This window comes from Homo sapiens, chromosome 11 (genome assembly GCF_000001405.40).
Source record: "Homo sapiens chromosome 11, GRCh38.p14 Primary Assembly".
In the NCBI taxonomy this organism is placed as follows: domain Eukaryota; kingdom Metazoa; phylum Chordata; class Mammalia; order Primates; family Hominidae; genus Homo; species Homo sapiens.
In genome coordinates this window covers 8,023,735-8,039,304 of record NC_000011.10, presented here as the reverse complement: position 1 = coordinate 8,039,304, position 15,570 = coordinate 8,023,735, and the positions used below count along the sequence as shown (strand labels likewise).

At 48.6% G+C, this 15,570-nt stretch overlaps 1 protein-coding gene and 1 long non-coding RNA gene across 6 annotated transcripts in view, besides 1 other annotated feature; one reads left to right on the top strand and one right to left on the bottom strand.

The window, feature by feature from the left end:
• Positions 1–15,570, bottom strand: part of TUB (TUB bipartite transcription factor) — an 86,999-nt gene that overhangs the window by 66,939 nt on the left and 4,490 nt on the right. The window contains exon 1 of one of the 5 annotated variants that reach the window (NM_003320.5): positions 277–672. The exons of the other annotated variants lie outside the window; for them this stretch is intronic. Coding sequence (NP_003311.2) covers positions 277–431 — 155 coding nt within the window. The 5' untranslated portion in view covers positions 432–672. Of the gene's footprint in view, positions 1–276; positions 673–15,570 lie in introns of those variants that run through there. 5 annotated transcript variants of the gene reach the window in all.
• Positions 1,070–4,103, top strand: LOC124902627 (uncharacterized). The gene is made up of 2 exons (XR_007062581.1): positions 1,070–1,138; positions 3,247–4,103. It is a non-coding gene; the product is annotated as an uncharacterized LOC124902627 (long non-coding RNA).
• Positions 3,066–3,630: an enhancer, noted in NCBI's record as "H3K27ac-H3K4me1 hESC enhancer chr11:8057222-8057786 (GRCh37/hg19 assembly coordinates)". NCBI's record gives its function as "activates a minimal SCP1, AML or CMV promoter by ChIP-STARR-seq in naive and primed H9 embryonic stem cells {active_cell/tissue: H9 hESC(naive and primed)}" and the evidence as "EXISTENCE:reporter gene assay evidence [ECO:0000049][PMID:30033119]".

Below are 15,570 nucleotides of genomic sequence, written 5' to 3'. Positions count from 1 at the left end.
CCTGGAGGCTGGGGGAGAGGCCCTTACTCCCATGGTGGGGGACCTCCCTGAGGTCCTGGGCAGCTCCTGGAGTAATGAAGCCTCCCTGATCACCTGTCTGGAGCAAGAGGGGTTTGCGGGGATATACCTGTGGGGCTCCACGTGGTGATAGGGGAGCAGCACCATCAGGAAGGGGAGGCCTTGGGACTGTAAAGGGTTGAGGTCAGTGAGGGTGGGTGGGTGGAGCTGACGCAATGGTTGGGCCCATGGGCTAAAGGCAGGATGTTGAAAGCTTACCGATCTCTTCGGTGGCCCCGTTTCAGGGGCCCAGGTTTCCTGTGCTGCTTTGAATGCTGAGATCCCATGGGCCAGGGAGTGCCTCCTGGGAACAAAATCCCTGTCTCGGCAAAGAAAGAAACCCAGAAAGAAGGCAAAGGTGTCCTGGCCCCCATCGTGGCCACAGGATGGAGTGGGTTTAAGGGATGGTCCCACTTCAGGCTGCATAGTAAGACCTGGAGCCTGTTGAAATTCCCTGTATTCGCCTCAGTACTGAAACCAGCACTTGGATGTCTCCCTTCATCACCGTGGCAACAGTCAGACTAACAACCACCATCACCCATTAATTAGGACATGGAAACATCTTCTGGTCGCAGTCTCCCCCCAAACCCTTCAGGACCAGACTGAATCCTCAAGGTCTCAGTGGCCATGCCACACAGGGACACCCAATTGCTGGTTTCCATGGCAACACGGAGGCCAAGTCTCTCTGCATCTGTGGGTTACTATAGCAACCCAGGCAGAGACAAGTGCACTGCGGACAAAGGCCCCATCTGGAGGAACCACCGAGGACACATTCACTGCTGCCCTCTCTGCGGCCAGCTCTGTGCTAGGGCTCAGGCTGTGTGCTGGGAGGGGCACACATCGTGCCTTCTAGGGACTGATGGAAGATCTAGGATTTGCTTGTCTGTGTCCTCAGCCTCTTGTCCCCTTGCTTCACCTGAAATGCACCTGGGTGTTCCCATCCACTCACAAGGCTTCATCTCCCACAACTCTTACATTGAGAACATCCAAGGCTGCATTGTGGACCCAGCCCTCTTCTAAACTCTACCTACCTGCTCTCTGGACCCTGCACCCCGGATGTCCCACAGCACCTCACGTTGGGGTATGTAGTTTTGGACTTCCTGTGAGTCTGAACATTCACTCTATACATTCTGTCTCTGTGAGTGACATCACTCAGCCCCTTGAGGCACCATCGTAGCTTTCTGCTTTTCCCTGTCCACCTTCCTCCACCAACCCAGACAATCATCAAGCACTGCTCATGCCATCTACTGAGCATCTCTCAATTCTATGCACCTCACCTTCCCTAGAGCCACTTCTGAGCTAGGGCCTTCCTGTCTGTTGCCCAGATCTTGGCATCATCATGGGCATCTACACCTAACTTGCTCCTCTCAAATCCATCCTGCAACTGACACCAGAGTGAGCTTCCTAAGATCATGTCCTCCCAGCCTACTTAAACCCTTCAGAAGACCCCCACTTCCTCTGGACAGAATCTAAGCTACTTTAGTCCGCCCGATGATCCTGCCAACTGTCCAGCCTTATCTACTACCAGGCCCTGGCTTTAACTCCTAATGACAACATCACCTTCTGTCTGTCCCTTCCCTCCCTCCAGCCCCACTACTTCCCCTCCATGTCCATCCTCAGCCATGCTCTTGTAAAAATTACACCCAGATTTTCAATGAGAACTTGGAACAATAATTAGGAATCTTCAGAATCCAATTTCAAGTATCAGAAGGAAAAGTGATACCCAGATGCAAAGCTGGACATTGCTGACCCCACCCCAAATGGACGCTGGAGACCCAGACCCCTCATCTGCTAAGCAGACAGACTGTAAGTGGTCATGGAAGAAGGGTGCAAAAGTGAACACATTCTGTTAACACTCATGGCCTCCAGAAAACAGAAGAATCACGGACATCAGCTGAGAAGCGCATCTCATCCTTCCCCTCCCATAACACTGTTGGGAAAATCAGGCTCAGAGAAAGGAAAGGTCAAAGCCAAGGCTCCCAATATGGAGTCTTCCATTCTCTCTGCTTGGACACATGCCCCAAAGCTGCACAGCCAGCCTCAAGGGAGTCAGTGCAAGGGGCACACGCACAGACATCCTGCATGCCGGCACCTGCCAGGTGGGGAAGTGGACGTGTGCATGCACCTGCAACTGGAGACCTCATCCTCCATCTCCCAGAAACTCTCTTTCAGGTGTCTTTAGTCTTGCTACAGGTGGAATGAGACCCTCCAGTCAGAGTAAAAGGACATCTCAAAGCCAATGCTCAGGCCAGCACTTTCTCAAGCACAACATCCTCCCTGGTTTCCTTCCTGCCAAAGCTCTCAGGTTTGGTCACAGGGTTAAACCAAGGAAAGTGGACCAGGAAAAAAGGTGAACTTATCAACTGTAGATGAAGCCAGCTTCCTCCAGGGAGGTCCATTCTTACCTTAAGGCTGGACCATGGGGCCCGTGCTACTGAGACTTGTGCCATGACCCCCTGGAGGACAACCGGGGAAAGATGGTCAAACAGAACCTCAGGGCTGGATAAACTGCATCTCTCAAGGGTCATAGCTCCCTGGGGCAGGCAGCCCTTTTGAGGCTAAGCTGCTGGATGGTGATTATGAAACCTCCTCATGCACACTCTGAGCATCAGGGTGTTTGCTCTTCCCAGAGCGGTCCCTCCATCTTTGTAGTTGGCCATTGCTGCTTCACCTAAAGCTCAAACACACCTCCCTTCAGTCCTAGTTCTGTCCTCCATGGCCCCACAGAACATGACTCTTCAGTCGGTCACAGTGCTTTGCATTAGTGCACTGAATGGTGAGCACAGCCTTCTAAGAAGGATGCTATCATTGATATTTCACAAAAGGGGAACCTAGGACTCAGAGAGGGGAATTTAAGTGGCAGAGTGCATAGGAGGAACAGGAACCATGTATTCCTATCTGCAGGAAAATAGAATGACTTACTACTGCCAGGCTAGATGACCAGCTGGCTCTGTGCTGCAGTAGGGGCTCAGAAGGGAGATTACAGAGTGGAACAGGCAGGGCAGAGGTGCTTCTGATACATGTCCCCTGAGACCCTCAGGCCTCCCACCGTGACAGGCATCTGGACACTGTGACCAGCTGGCCTAGGCCTGGACCTCGACATAACAGTGTCTCAAGTCCCAGATATAATTTGGCATCTTGGGTACCCCTTCAACACTGATCTTTCTAAAATGTCTGTTTACCTTTTAGGCTAGTGGAGCACAGCCAGGGGAGGACAGGAGGAGGGTATTCTCTGGAGACAGGTGTGCCCCCCTACTGACAGACCCTGCTCAGCAGAACAGAAGCCCTTCAGCGAATGAGACCTACCCTCTGCGGAAGGCTGGTTAGGAAGCATCCATGTCTACTTCAGCGTCTCACCTCCCTGTCACAAACAGATCACCACAGTTTTCCTCCAGCCTCATGCTGTCCTCCCCCTAGAGGAATGTGGGTACATGGAATGTTCTCCACCTCCATGCATGTCCAGTGACGTTTTGGATCAGCGTGTCAGGGACGCTGTCAGGCGTGCCTGCTTGCACTCATCCAGCCCTGGCTGGATGTGATTCTACGAGCAGAGCAAGACCAGCATGTTCTGTCCTCCAGTTATCACAGCAGTTACTCTGGCAACCTGCAGGCCCTCCCTGAGGTGTCTGACGGCTGAAGCAGGGTCCAGTGGGATGGAATGAAGGATGGGCACCCTGGAAGACAGCCCATGGAGGGGCCCTTTGGGTCCCCTGCTGCCCTGGGCACCTGCGAAGAGAGAAGCTGAGCCACCCTGCCTGAGGCAGTAGGCAGTAAGAGCTGAAGGGAGCAGGAGGTTAGGGCCCAGCGGGAAGTGAGAGCAGTGGGGCCAGCACCAGGGTAAGCTGAATAAAGCTCTCGCCTGAGGCGCAGAATTTAAAGATTTGCCAAAAAACTCAGCAGCCAAGAAATTTAATACTTCCAGCAAATCAAAGCAAAACTGTCCATGATAAACAAGACTGGAGTTAGGGTAAGGCAAGTGAGGCCAATACAAGGCCCGCAAATCCAGTGTTGTATCTTGTCTTTATTAAAGGTTTGATTTTGTTGTATGTGCTTTGCATTCATTTTGATTTAAAAAAATACTATATTGAAATATCATTTATCTTAATTACTGAGCTTGTTCGAGGTCCTTTGAATGTTGCACTTGAGGTCAATGTCTTTCTAGCCTCACCCTAGTCTCAGCCCTGGAGGGGAGGGACAGACTGAGTCAGGAGCAGGAAGGAGCACAGTGCCATTGAAAACGCATCATGCGACAAGGAGCCGGGAGACATGGGTTCCCATCTGTCCCCTTCACAGATTCTCCTCAGTTCTGATAGAATCAGATTCAGATTTCACAAGACTGCAACATGAATATTGCTGCTGGGGAGCACAGGTGCCTAGCATGCACATGGACCCCCTCCATACAGGGTGATAGTGAGTCATAAGGTGGCACCCACCTCCTGCCCTCCGTCAGGTTGTCTGCTAAGGGGAGGAGATGGGAGAAGAAGGGGAGAGGGGAATGGAGGGGGTGGGCAGGGAAGAAGCTGGCAAGTTTGCATGACTGGGAGCAGGAATGGCAGATGAGCTGTAATTGCCTGAAGCTGAGAGAGGCTGTTGATAAATGTTACTAATAATCAACCTTCAGATCTGACACCCAGCTCAGGCTGGGATTACTGTTTTGAATGGAAATTGAACCCAAACCAATAATTACCCTGGTGAGCGATGCCAGTCTTACTCTGGAGCCTGTTTTAGGCAGGGAAATCGCACCTGCATGTCAGTACCAGCCCATGAGGTAGATGATCCAGCAAAGGACTCCCTCCTGGGGTCACACCAAGAGCACAAACTGGCCTGGACTCTGCCAACACAATGGGCCACAGTATCAACAGGAATGCTCACCCTCTTCCTAGAGCTTACAGTGGGTGAGGGACTCCCACCCATCATTGTCAATCTTCAAGCAGAGTCCAGACCTCAGACCCCACTCCCACTGTCCTTCCCCCTTGGGCTTCATGGAAGTCCCTTGTTGACATCATCCCATGCTGTCAGAGCAGGTGCTTAGGGGGAGGGGTGGCTGTCCCCTAAACACAGGTGCAGCCCTCCAATCCTCTGTCTGGGACCCTTGGATAGCCACACGTTGCTGTTAGGCTGGGAGGCTCTTGGAATGGCCTGAGCTGGGGCCAGGTGAGAGGGATGAGGCCACAGTAGGCCCCAGAGCCCATCGCAGCCCTTGCCTCTGGTCCCTGATTGCTCCCAGACAAGGCCGGGTATGCCCCAAAATTCTACCTGGAAACAAACGCCTATTCTCCGGCCCTCCCTGTATCCCTGCGGTGCGTTTCAGCCCGTCTAGAGAACTCCTAGAATGCTGGCAACAGCCAGAACCAGGCCAGAGGGGGAAAGGCTGCAAGACAGCTTCTCTCTGTGAACCAATCCCTCTCCCCAGGATACATTCTGAGCTTGGGTCTTTATCCCTGGCTTCTCCTTCAGGCAGCTTGACACTAAAAATGCATTCACCAGACAAACTATGGTGGGATGAATGACGACAGCAGCACTCTGCTGTTTACACATTACACCCCACCAAACACCTCTGCCATCTCTGCCGTGCCAGGCCCTGGGTTGGGGCAGGTGGCCCCGAGGAGAATAAGACGGTCCCGCTCTCAGGAGTGCCTGGTGGGGAGGAGTATAAGCAGGCAGGTAATTACACTGCAGGCAGTTCCTGAGGGCCCCTTCAGAAGGGGTCAATATGTCCTGAACTACAGAGTCTGAAGAAGTCCATGAGCTGCCTCAGGGGGCAGGCAAAGCTAATCAAGCCTGGTGGGATTCAGAGTGTGTCTGACCACAATCTTCAGGCTGAAACTGGGCGAAAGGCCAGCAAGTGTCAGAAACTCCCGGAGTGCTCAAACTGGGGCGGACACCTAGAGAGTGCCATCTTGTGGCGGCACAGCAGGAATGCAGCTCTGTCTTCGGGCGCCGGAGTTTCCCGGAGTCTCCCGGAGTCCAGGCCCTGAAACGGACCCCTGAACTCAGACGTACAAAAGGGAACCAAGGAAACGGCTTTTGTTCTGTTTGCAAAGGCTTGGGGCTTGGAGGAAGTGGGGCACGATGGGCCCCAGGGTGTGGAAGCGACAGGGAAGCGGGCAGGCGAGGGGCGGTGCCTCTGGAGCTCCCTGTCTCCCAGGTTCCCCCCCAGATCATATTGGCACCCTCTAATTATCTGTTCGGCAGGGTCTCCCTACCACTCTATCGGGACCTCAGCACTGTCACCAGCCAACAGAGGGAGTGACAGAAAGCCCATGCCCAGAACTGGCCTGCTTAGTCTCTCGGGTGACAAAACAGATTTGGGGGCCCAGAGCAGCTGTGCTCATCGGCAGTTAACTCGCCTTGCTCCTGTAGCCTAGGGAGGGGCTCACTGACAACTTGGGGTCAGGCAAAGGTCCTCCCTCAGCCCTCGGCTGTCCTGTTAGATTCTGAAATTGTTGCCCCAGTCATTTCCTCTCTTGCCAGAGGAAGGAATAGTGACCAGATGTGAGGTGAATGGTCCCCAAAGAAATGTTCCCAGGTGTGGAGAGCCTGGCGTGAGCCAGATGTGCGGGAGGTGCAAAGGGAGGAGGGAGGATAGGTGCCCAGGTGTGAGGGAGAGGAAGAGAATGAACACGTGTAGGTTAAAGGGAAGTATGCCCTGGGAGAATATCTCAGGCATCGGCAAAATTTTTTCTTGAAGGGCCAGATCTGAGGTTGTAGTGTGAAAGCAGCCATAGACAACATTTAAGCCGATAGATGTGTCTGTTTTCCAATAAACAGTTTTTTAAAACAGGCTGCTGCCCACTCGCCATGGCTCACTGATCCAATCCAAACTTGCTGCCCACAGGAGTGTCCGTCCATGCTGATCATGGAGGCCACAGTGCAGTAATAACTTCATCCCAACATCTGCCAACAAGTACCAGGTGTTCACCGGCTACGAGCCTACTTCACTGCTGCCTTGTAGGGCGATACTTGGTGGTAGTTGGGGGTGGGGGCGGCACTTGTGGTGTCACAAGGCTATAAAGGGTCAGGACTGGAGTAGGAAAGTCCAGGGTGGGGAGAAGCTTGGCCACTGTGGACCCCCAATCTCACTCCTGCGCTCCCGGCCTTTCCCCAGGCCTTTCCCCAGGCGCTCCCGGCCTTTCCCCAGGCGGGACACTCACCTGCAGTGGGAGGCTCTGTGCAGTCGCGGCTGCTCCCCTTCCTTACCCCAGGGGGTCTCTCTCTGTCCAGCTGCTGCCCCTCCAGCCCCTTCCCGAGCAGGAAACTCCCAGAGCTAGGCAGGGGGATGGGACCGAACTGGCCCAAGGACACGCCGCCAGACAGATGACACCCCGCGGAAGGCGAAGTGGCCCGAGGGGGGCGGGGGAGTAACCCTGCACCGGGACCCAGGGCCCGAGCAGAGGCCAGACTGGAATCGACCCCTGCCCTGCGAGACTGGCCCTGTGGCCCCCAAGCTGTTCCAGGACACGCCGTGGGCCTGCGCCAGCCTCCCTACCCCAGCTCCTGTCCCCTCGCAGGTGCGGCCACTGCCAGCAGATCGCGCATGGCCAGCTCGGACTGGTCCCTGGGCTCTCCAGTTACACTAAAAGTGAGACCAAGGAAGATGGTATCGAGGAGGTGCAGGCTCATCCAACATTGATGCGGCCCCGGATTGCCCCACAGCCCCTCACCTCACGGCAGACCGAGGTCCCCGCTCTCAACTCCCATGGGTTGGGCCTGGCAGGGAGGGAAGGGTCCTCTACCCCACCACAGCTCACTGCCCAGGGTCACACAGGGTCTCTTTGGCTCAGCGACCTAAGCGGAGCTCTAGGCACAGGGGCTCCTGCTTAATCCTTGAGTGCTTTTAGGGCTTTTAGAGCTCACCAGCCTCCCAGAAACTGCCCAGGCAAGGTGCCTGTGAAAGCAGGCCTGTGGCCCCCCATTAAGTGTAATCTTGGGCCCAGGAAAGGGCCAGTGTACCTGACCTCCTTCCACTTCCCAATCCTACCTCTTGACCCCACCAAATGCAGGGCAAAAGAGAGGATCCCCCCAGTCCCACCCCGTTCACACAGTCAATTCCACCATACATACCTGCTTCCATAGAAGCACACACAACTGGGACACATCTACATGGCTGCCCTTGGTGGCAGGCACACCCCTGTGCACACACCCCACCCAGATACACTCTTACTGATGCACACACTCAGATGTGCACACAGACGCCTTCTCTCAGAGCCCAACCCGTCATTGCCTCTGTTGTCTGAACACTTGGTGATGGAGAGGACGAAATAACACCCAAAATGTCAGACTGTGGAAAGAGGGGCTGGTGTCAGGAGACAGTGTCCTTTCGGGACACTGTGGTGTTCCTGGCATGGTATTTAGTTGGTCTGCAGTGTCTAAGGGGGCATGGAGGCAGAGCCAGGCTGGGATTGAATCTTTGTAGAGGAACGTGACCTTGCAAAGAGATAATCCTAGGCTGCTGTTATCCTGGTGCCAGCCCTCCCTGACTCCAAAGCCTCCCCAGATCCAGGGACCGCTTCCCCCGGACCTCAGCTCTGTGCTCCTCATTCTGACACTAGGGTCCCATCTGCTGGCACAGTTCTCTAGCATTGTTCACCTGCAGAAATCTGCCTCTCCCCAGGACAAAAGCATGGACAGGCTGTTCCCTAAGGCCTGCTGACTTCTGAACCCCACTCCCCAACACACATACATATCTAGGGTTGTCTTTGTTCATATTCAGATCAGAAGACCAGGACACCTGCCCAAGGCTGCAGAGGAACACACACCTGAGCCCAGAGATCTAACTGCTGCACCTTCAGGACAAACTACATGGCTTAGGATAGACAGCAAAGGTGTGAATCTCCCCCAAGCACATGCTGGGCCAGAATCTCCCAGCTGAGACTCAGGCTCAGGATTTTCCAGAGTGAAGGCAGTAAGTATCAACAGATACCCATGAGCCCCTACTTGGCAACTGTTCTCCAGACTGTAGGCATAGCTGGAGCTTCCTTCCACTTTTGGTCACAGATACAATGTCCCTGCCCAAGGTCTTTTTGCATTTGTTGGACTGCATCCAGTGACCCTATCTGGAAAACCACAGTGCCTGATGATGTCAAACTTCAGCGCGGGCAAGTCCCAAGGGATCTGAAAAGTCCATGCCCCACCTCCATACCCGACTCCCCTCTCCACCATAAATCACCCTGAGCCCCAGTTACACCAGCTGGATGGGAAACAGACCACCCCCCACTCACTGCCCTCTAACGCCATTCCTCATCGACCCTCTGTACACTGCCCTCATTTGCCCCATCCAGTCCAGCTGTCTTGGTACTGTACTGCTATAAATCCATCAAAAGAGAAGTAGCTGCACTCAAAAAGTTCTAAAACAAAGCAGAGCCTCCAGCCCCCTGCCTCTGGTAGCCACCCGACTCCTCTGGCCAGCAACCCCTAAGCTGGCACTGCCACGGCCAGGACCTCCAATCCCAGCTGTCCTGTTCTCATCCCTCCACCCTGGCCTTTCCTATCACAGAACACACACCGAGGCCATAGGTCATATACTCACAGAATGTCAGAACTAGAGAGTGCTCAGACAGGCTGGGTGTGGTGGCTCATACCTGTAATCCCAGCACTTTGGGAGGCTGAGGCGGGCAGATCACCTGAGGTCAGGAGTTTGAGACCAGCCTGACCAAATTGGTGAAAACTCGTCAATACCAAAAATACAAAGATTAGCCAGGCATTGTGGTGGGCACCTGTCATCCCAGCTACTCAGGAGGCTGAGGCAGGAGAATTACCTGAACCTGAGAGGCAGAGGTTGCAGTGAGCCGAGGTCGCACCACTGCACTCCAGCCTGGGAGAAAGAGCGAGACTCTGTCTCAAAAAAAAAAAAAAAAAAGAAAGAAAGAAAAAGAAAAGAACCTGAGGGCCCAAACTTTAAAAGTGGAAGAAGCACATATTTTGTTAAGTTCTCCTCGAAAGGTAAAGTCAGCTTAGTACGAAAGGCTACTTTTACAATAAGAATTTGGCTACTTCTTCAACTCAACAAAAACCTAACTGTGCAGAGAATATCACCAGCAACTGCATGCTTTGTTTGGGAACCCGGGGCCAGAAAAAAGCCACAAGAAGATATGTTGCAGAAGAGACCAGTGTGGGCCAGAATCCACCTTTGGTCACAGATATAGTGTAAAACAAGAGTCAAGAGTCCAGAAATAAACCCATACATTTATGGCTAATTTTGGGGTTTGTTTTTTGTTTTGTTTTGTTTTTGTTTCTTGAGACAGGTCTTGGTCTGTTGCCCAGGCTGGCATGCAGTGGTGTGATCACGGTTCACTGCAACCTCAACCTTCCAGGCTCAGGTGATCTTCTCACCTCAGCCTCCCAAGCAGCTGGTACTATAGGCATGTGCCACAACGCCCAGCTAATTAAAAAATAAATTTTATGGAGACAGGGTCTCACTACGTTGTCCAGGCTGGTCTCAAACTCCTAGACTCCAAGCAATCCTCCTACCCGAGCCTCCCAAAATGCTGGGATTACAGGCATGAGCCACTGTGCCCGACTCACCAGTTGATTTTTGACCAGGGTGCCAAGTCCATTCAGTGAGAGAAAAAGTAGAAACAAATAGTGCTGAGACAACTGGATTTTCTTTCATGCAAAAGAATGAAATTGGACCACAACTCATACTATATACAGAAATTAACTCAAAATGGATCACTGACATAGATACAAGCTCTAAAACTACAAAACACTGAAGAAAACAGGTAAATCTTCATGGTCCTGGATTTGGCAATGGATTCTTAGATATGACACTATAAGCATAACCAACAGAAAAAAGACAAATTGGACTTCATCAAAATTAAAGCTTGTGCTTCAAAGGACCTTATCAAGAAAGTGAGAAGACAACAATGGGGAAAAACATTTGCAAATCATACATCTGAGAAGAATTTAATATTGAAAATATGTAAAGAACTCCTATAACTCAACAACAAAAAGACAAACAACCTAATTAAAAATGATAAGAACTTAGACATTTCTCTAAGACATAAATGGTCAGATAAGCACAAGAAATAATACTAATCATTTGTCACTGAGGAAATGCAAATCAAAACCATGATAAGATACCACTTCCTAGACTATACTAGGATGGCTATAATAATAATTATAATAACAACCCAGAAATTAACAGGTTATTGGTGAGAAGGTGAAGAAATGGGAACCCTTGTACATTGCTGGTGGAAATGTAAAATGGTGCAGTCTTTGTAGAAAACAGTTTCACGGTTTCTCAAAAAGCTAAAGATAGAATTATCATTACCAAACAGCAATTCTACTCCTAGGTTTATACTACCCAAAAGAATCTAAGACGGACTCAAATAGATATGCGCGCACCAATGTTCACTGGAGCATTTTCACAATAGCCAAAAGGTAGAAACAATCCAAGTGTCCATCAACAGATGAATGTATAAACAAAATGCTGGCTGTGCACAGTGGCTCACGCCTGTAATCCCAGCACCTGGGGAGGCTGAGATGGGCGGATCACTTGAGGTCAGGAGTTCAAGACCAGCCTGGCCAACATGGAGAAACCCCGTCTCTACTAAAAATACAAAAAATAGCCAGGCGTTGTGGTGGGTACCTGTAATCCCAGCTACTGGGGAGGCTGAGGCAGGAGAATTGCTTGAACCCGAGAGGCAGAGGTTGCAGTGAGCTGAGGTCGCGCCACTGCCCTCCAGCCTGGGAGACAGAGCAAGACTCCATCTCAAAAATAAATAAATCAATAAAATTTAAATTTAAAAAATTTTAAAAATAAACAAAATGTGGTTTATGCAAACAATGGAATTATTCAGCCAAAAAATATATGCTACAACATGAATGAATCTTGAAAACATTATGCTAAGCAAAATAAGCCAGACACAAAAGGAAAAATACTGTATGATTTCGTTATACGAAATATCTAAAATAGGCAATTTATAGAGACAGAAAGTAGATTAGAGGTTACCAGGGGCCAGGATGGTGATGAATTAGAAATTATTTCTTAATGGGTAGAGAGTTTCAGTTTAGGATAATAAAAAGGCTCTGAAAATAGATAGTGGTGATGGTTGCACAATACTGTGAATGTAACTGATGCCACGGACTTGTATACTCAGAAATCATTGAAATAGCTCATTTTATGTCATACACATTTTACCACAATTAAGAATCCCAATACAGGCTATACACTAGGAATGAAAAATCAGAAACTGAATTTTATAAACCCTTTTATAATATCATTGAAAAATATGCAGAATTTAGGGATACATCTTACAAAAGAGGTTAAAGACCTATACACTGAAAGCTACAAATATGACTGAGAGAAATTAAGATGATCTATCCCCTCAACAGATATAAATATATAGATACCATGTTCATGAATTGGAAGGCCCGATGTTACTAAGATGTAACTCTCCCCAAATTGATCTATAAAGTCAACAAAATCCCAATCAAAATTCCAGCAGGTTTTTTGGGGGGATGGGGGTTAGAACTTGAAAAACTGATTGTTAAATTAATGTGAAATTGAAAAGGCCCTAGAATAGTCAAAACAACTTTGTAAAAGAAAGACAAGGCTGAAAGTCCTGAACTGCCAGATTTCAATACTTATAAGTATTTTTTGTTATTGGCATCAATAAAGACACATAGATCAAGATAACAGAGTAGAGAGTATAAACTTACAAACAATAATCAACTGATTTTCCATAAAGGTACAAAGGCAATTTAGCAGAAAAAAGAAAGGTTTTTTTCAATGAATGCTGCTGGAACAATTAGATACCCATTTTTTTTTTTAATGAATCTCATACCATATGCAAAAAGTTAACTCAAAATGTAGCAAAGATCTAAATTTAAAATGTAAAATTAGAAAATTCCTAGAAAAACCTTTGTCACCGCAAAGTAGGCAATGATTTCTTAGATACAACATCAGAAGAACAATCTATAAAAAAACTGATAAACTGGATTTCATCAAAAGCAAAAACTTCTCTTGAAAATACATAAGAAAATGAAAAGAAAGCCACAGACTTGGAGAAAATATTGCAAGTCATATATCTGATAAAGGAGATGCATCCACAGCATACAAAGAACTCTCAAAACTCAAAAAGAAAACAATCCAACTTAAAGATGGGGAAATATTTTAACAGAAACTTCTCCAAAGAAGAGATATGGATAGCAAATAAGCACATGAAAAGATGCTCGACATCATTAGTCATCAAGGCAATGCAAAATGAAACCACAATGGCATACCACTGCATAACTGTTAGAATGCTTAAATGAAAAAGACTGGCTGTGCCAACTGTCACAAAAACGCAGAGGAATTGGAACTCTCATACAATGCTCATGAGAATATAAAATGGTCCAACCTCTTTGGAAAAGTTGGGCAGTTTCTTAAAAGATTAAATGTAGACCTATTATATGATTCAGCCATTCCACTGCTTTGCTAGGTATTTGCCTAAGAGAAACAAAAGTATACGTCCATACAAAGACCTGTACATGAATATTCACAAAAGCTTTATTTGTAATAGCCAAAAAGTGGGAACATCAACAGGTGATGGGATAAACAAACTGTGATATATCCATGAATACTACTCAGCAATAAAAGGAAATGCTCTACTAATTTATGCAACAGTATTGAAGAATATCACAATAATTACACTGTCTGAAAACGGCCAAACAATAAAAGGTTCATACTGATTATTCCATTTATACAAAACTCTAGGAAACGAATCAGATCAGTGGTTCCCTGAGGATGGGTGGAGTGGGTGCGGGGAGTTGGGAGAAGAGCAATAAGGAAGTTTTACAAAGAGGCAGAGGACACACAGGTTTCCATGCTGTTCCCAAACACACTAGGCACACTCCTACCTCAGGACGTTGTCACTTGCTGCTCCTTTCCATGGAACATTCTTCCCATTAACCACATGACTCATTCCCTCGCCTCTTTCAGCTCTTGGATGAAATACCCCCTCCTCAGAGTTTCCCTGACCACACTATATGACACAGCACACACACCACCCCCAGCATGCCCATGCTGTCAGACTCTCTCCTCCAGACTCTGCTTTTTCTGCTTTGCACTTTATCATATTATATAAGCCTCTTAGCACTGATACATTAAATATATTTGTCCATATCTCCCCCAACTAGATGGTAAGAACTACGAGACCACAGACTTTGTTTCATTCTGTCTCCACTGCCTAAAATGTTGCCTGGCATTTAGAAGGTGTTCAGTAAATGCATATTGAGTGAATGGACCCACCTTAAGACGTAGCTACCATTATTATTGTCTATTTGCTGATGGAGGTTAAGTCACTTGTCTAAAGCCATATAAGCAATAATTTAAGGACCTGGGCTGCAAAGCCAGGTCACTTTGACCCCAAAATCCAAGTTCTGCGCAGTGATGCTACTTTGTCTCAGAGTCTGAGAGGTCACACTCACACACACAAACATAATTGCAAAACAATGCAGTCAGTGACTGCCTGTGGAAAAAGAAATCAATTCACCCCTCCTGGAGGACAATCTGACAGTAGCCAACATTGGAAACTAACAATCCTTCTTCAGAAGTTTGTTTTAATTGAATAATCAAACATGAGGGGAGAATGTCATATATACAAGATGTTCAACACAAAATTATTTATAATAGCAAAGAACTGGGAAGAACAACAAAGTCCCCACAAGGGAGTGATTGAAGTAGAGTGGAAATGAAGTGGAGTCAGGACGTGACAGAAGATGATGCCTGATGTGATCAATTTTTCTCCAAGGAGCAGGAGGCAGGGCCATTTACATAACACACGGGGTGCAGATAAGGGTCAAGCAGAGAGGGGTCTTGAGAGTGCGGAAGGTTTGGAAGGGCTGTTGTGGGCAATGGGAGTGAAGTTCATCAGGGAGAAGCAGAAAGACTGAGAGATGGCATTGGTGGCCCGGCCGAAGATGAAGACCATGAAAGTGGTGACATCCTGCACAGGCAAGTCATTTTTGTTGTAGGATTCTAGTGTTATAAGAAGAAAGGGGATAGAGATTTTAACATTGATCCACGCCGGGCTAGAGTCGTGCTGAGCATACGTGAGGGAATAAAAAGTGCTGGAGTGAGTGACTGAAATAATCTACCATGTAATACAAGCTGGGAAGAGAAGAGAGGCCGGGAAAAGGCTGGTAGGCCATGAAGGCAGACACCTTCGTGTTATGGCAGGAGTAATGTATAAGGAACATGCCTGAGGTCAGAGAGCTGGCAATTCATGTGTATGAGATTAGAAGTGAAGCAATTCCAGCTGTCATCATCTAGGAATTTATCCTGTGAATAACTGAAGAGAAGGGTCTAGAATGGGAAGGTCCAGAAATTGGGAGTGAAGAGTGCTAGTTTGGTCACTGATATGGGCACTGAAGCCTTTGAGGATAACGACTGAAGCTTGAGTGGAGACAAAATGGTTAATGGGGTGCCAAGCTGTGGAAAAAAATGGACTTCATGATACCCACTTTGTGCCAGTCATTTTACATAGATCTTTTCCTTTTATCTTCATCACAATCAGTGGTATAGATAAG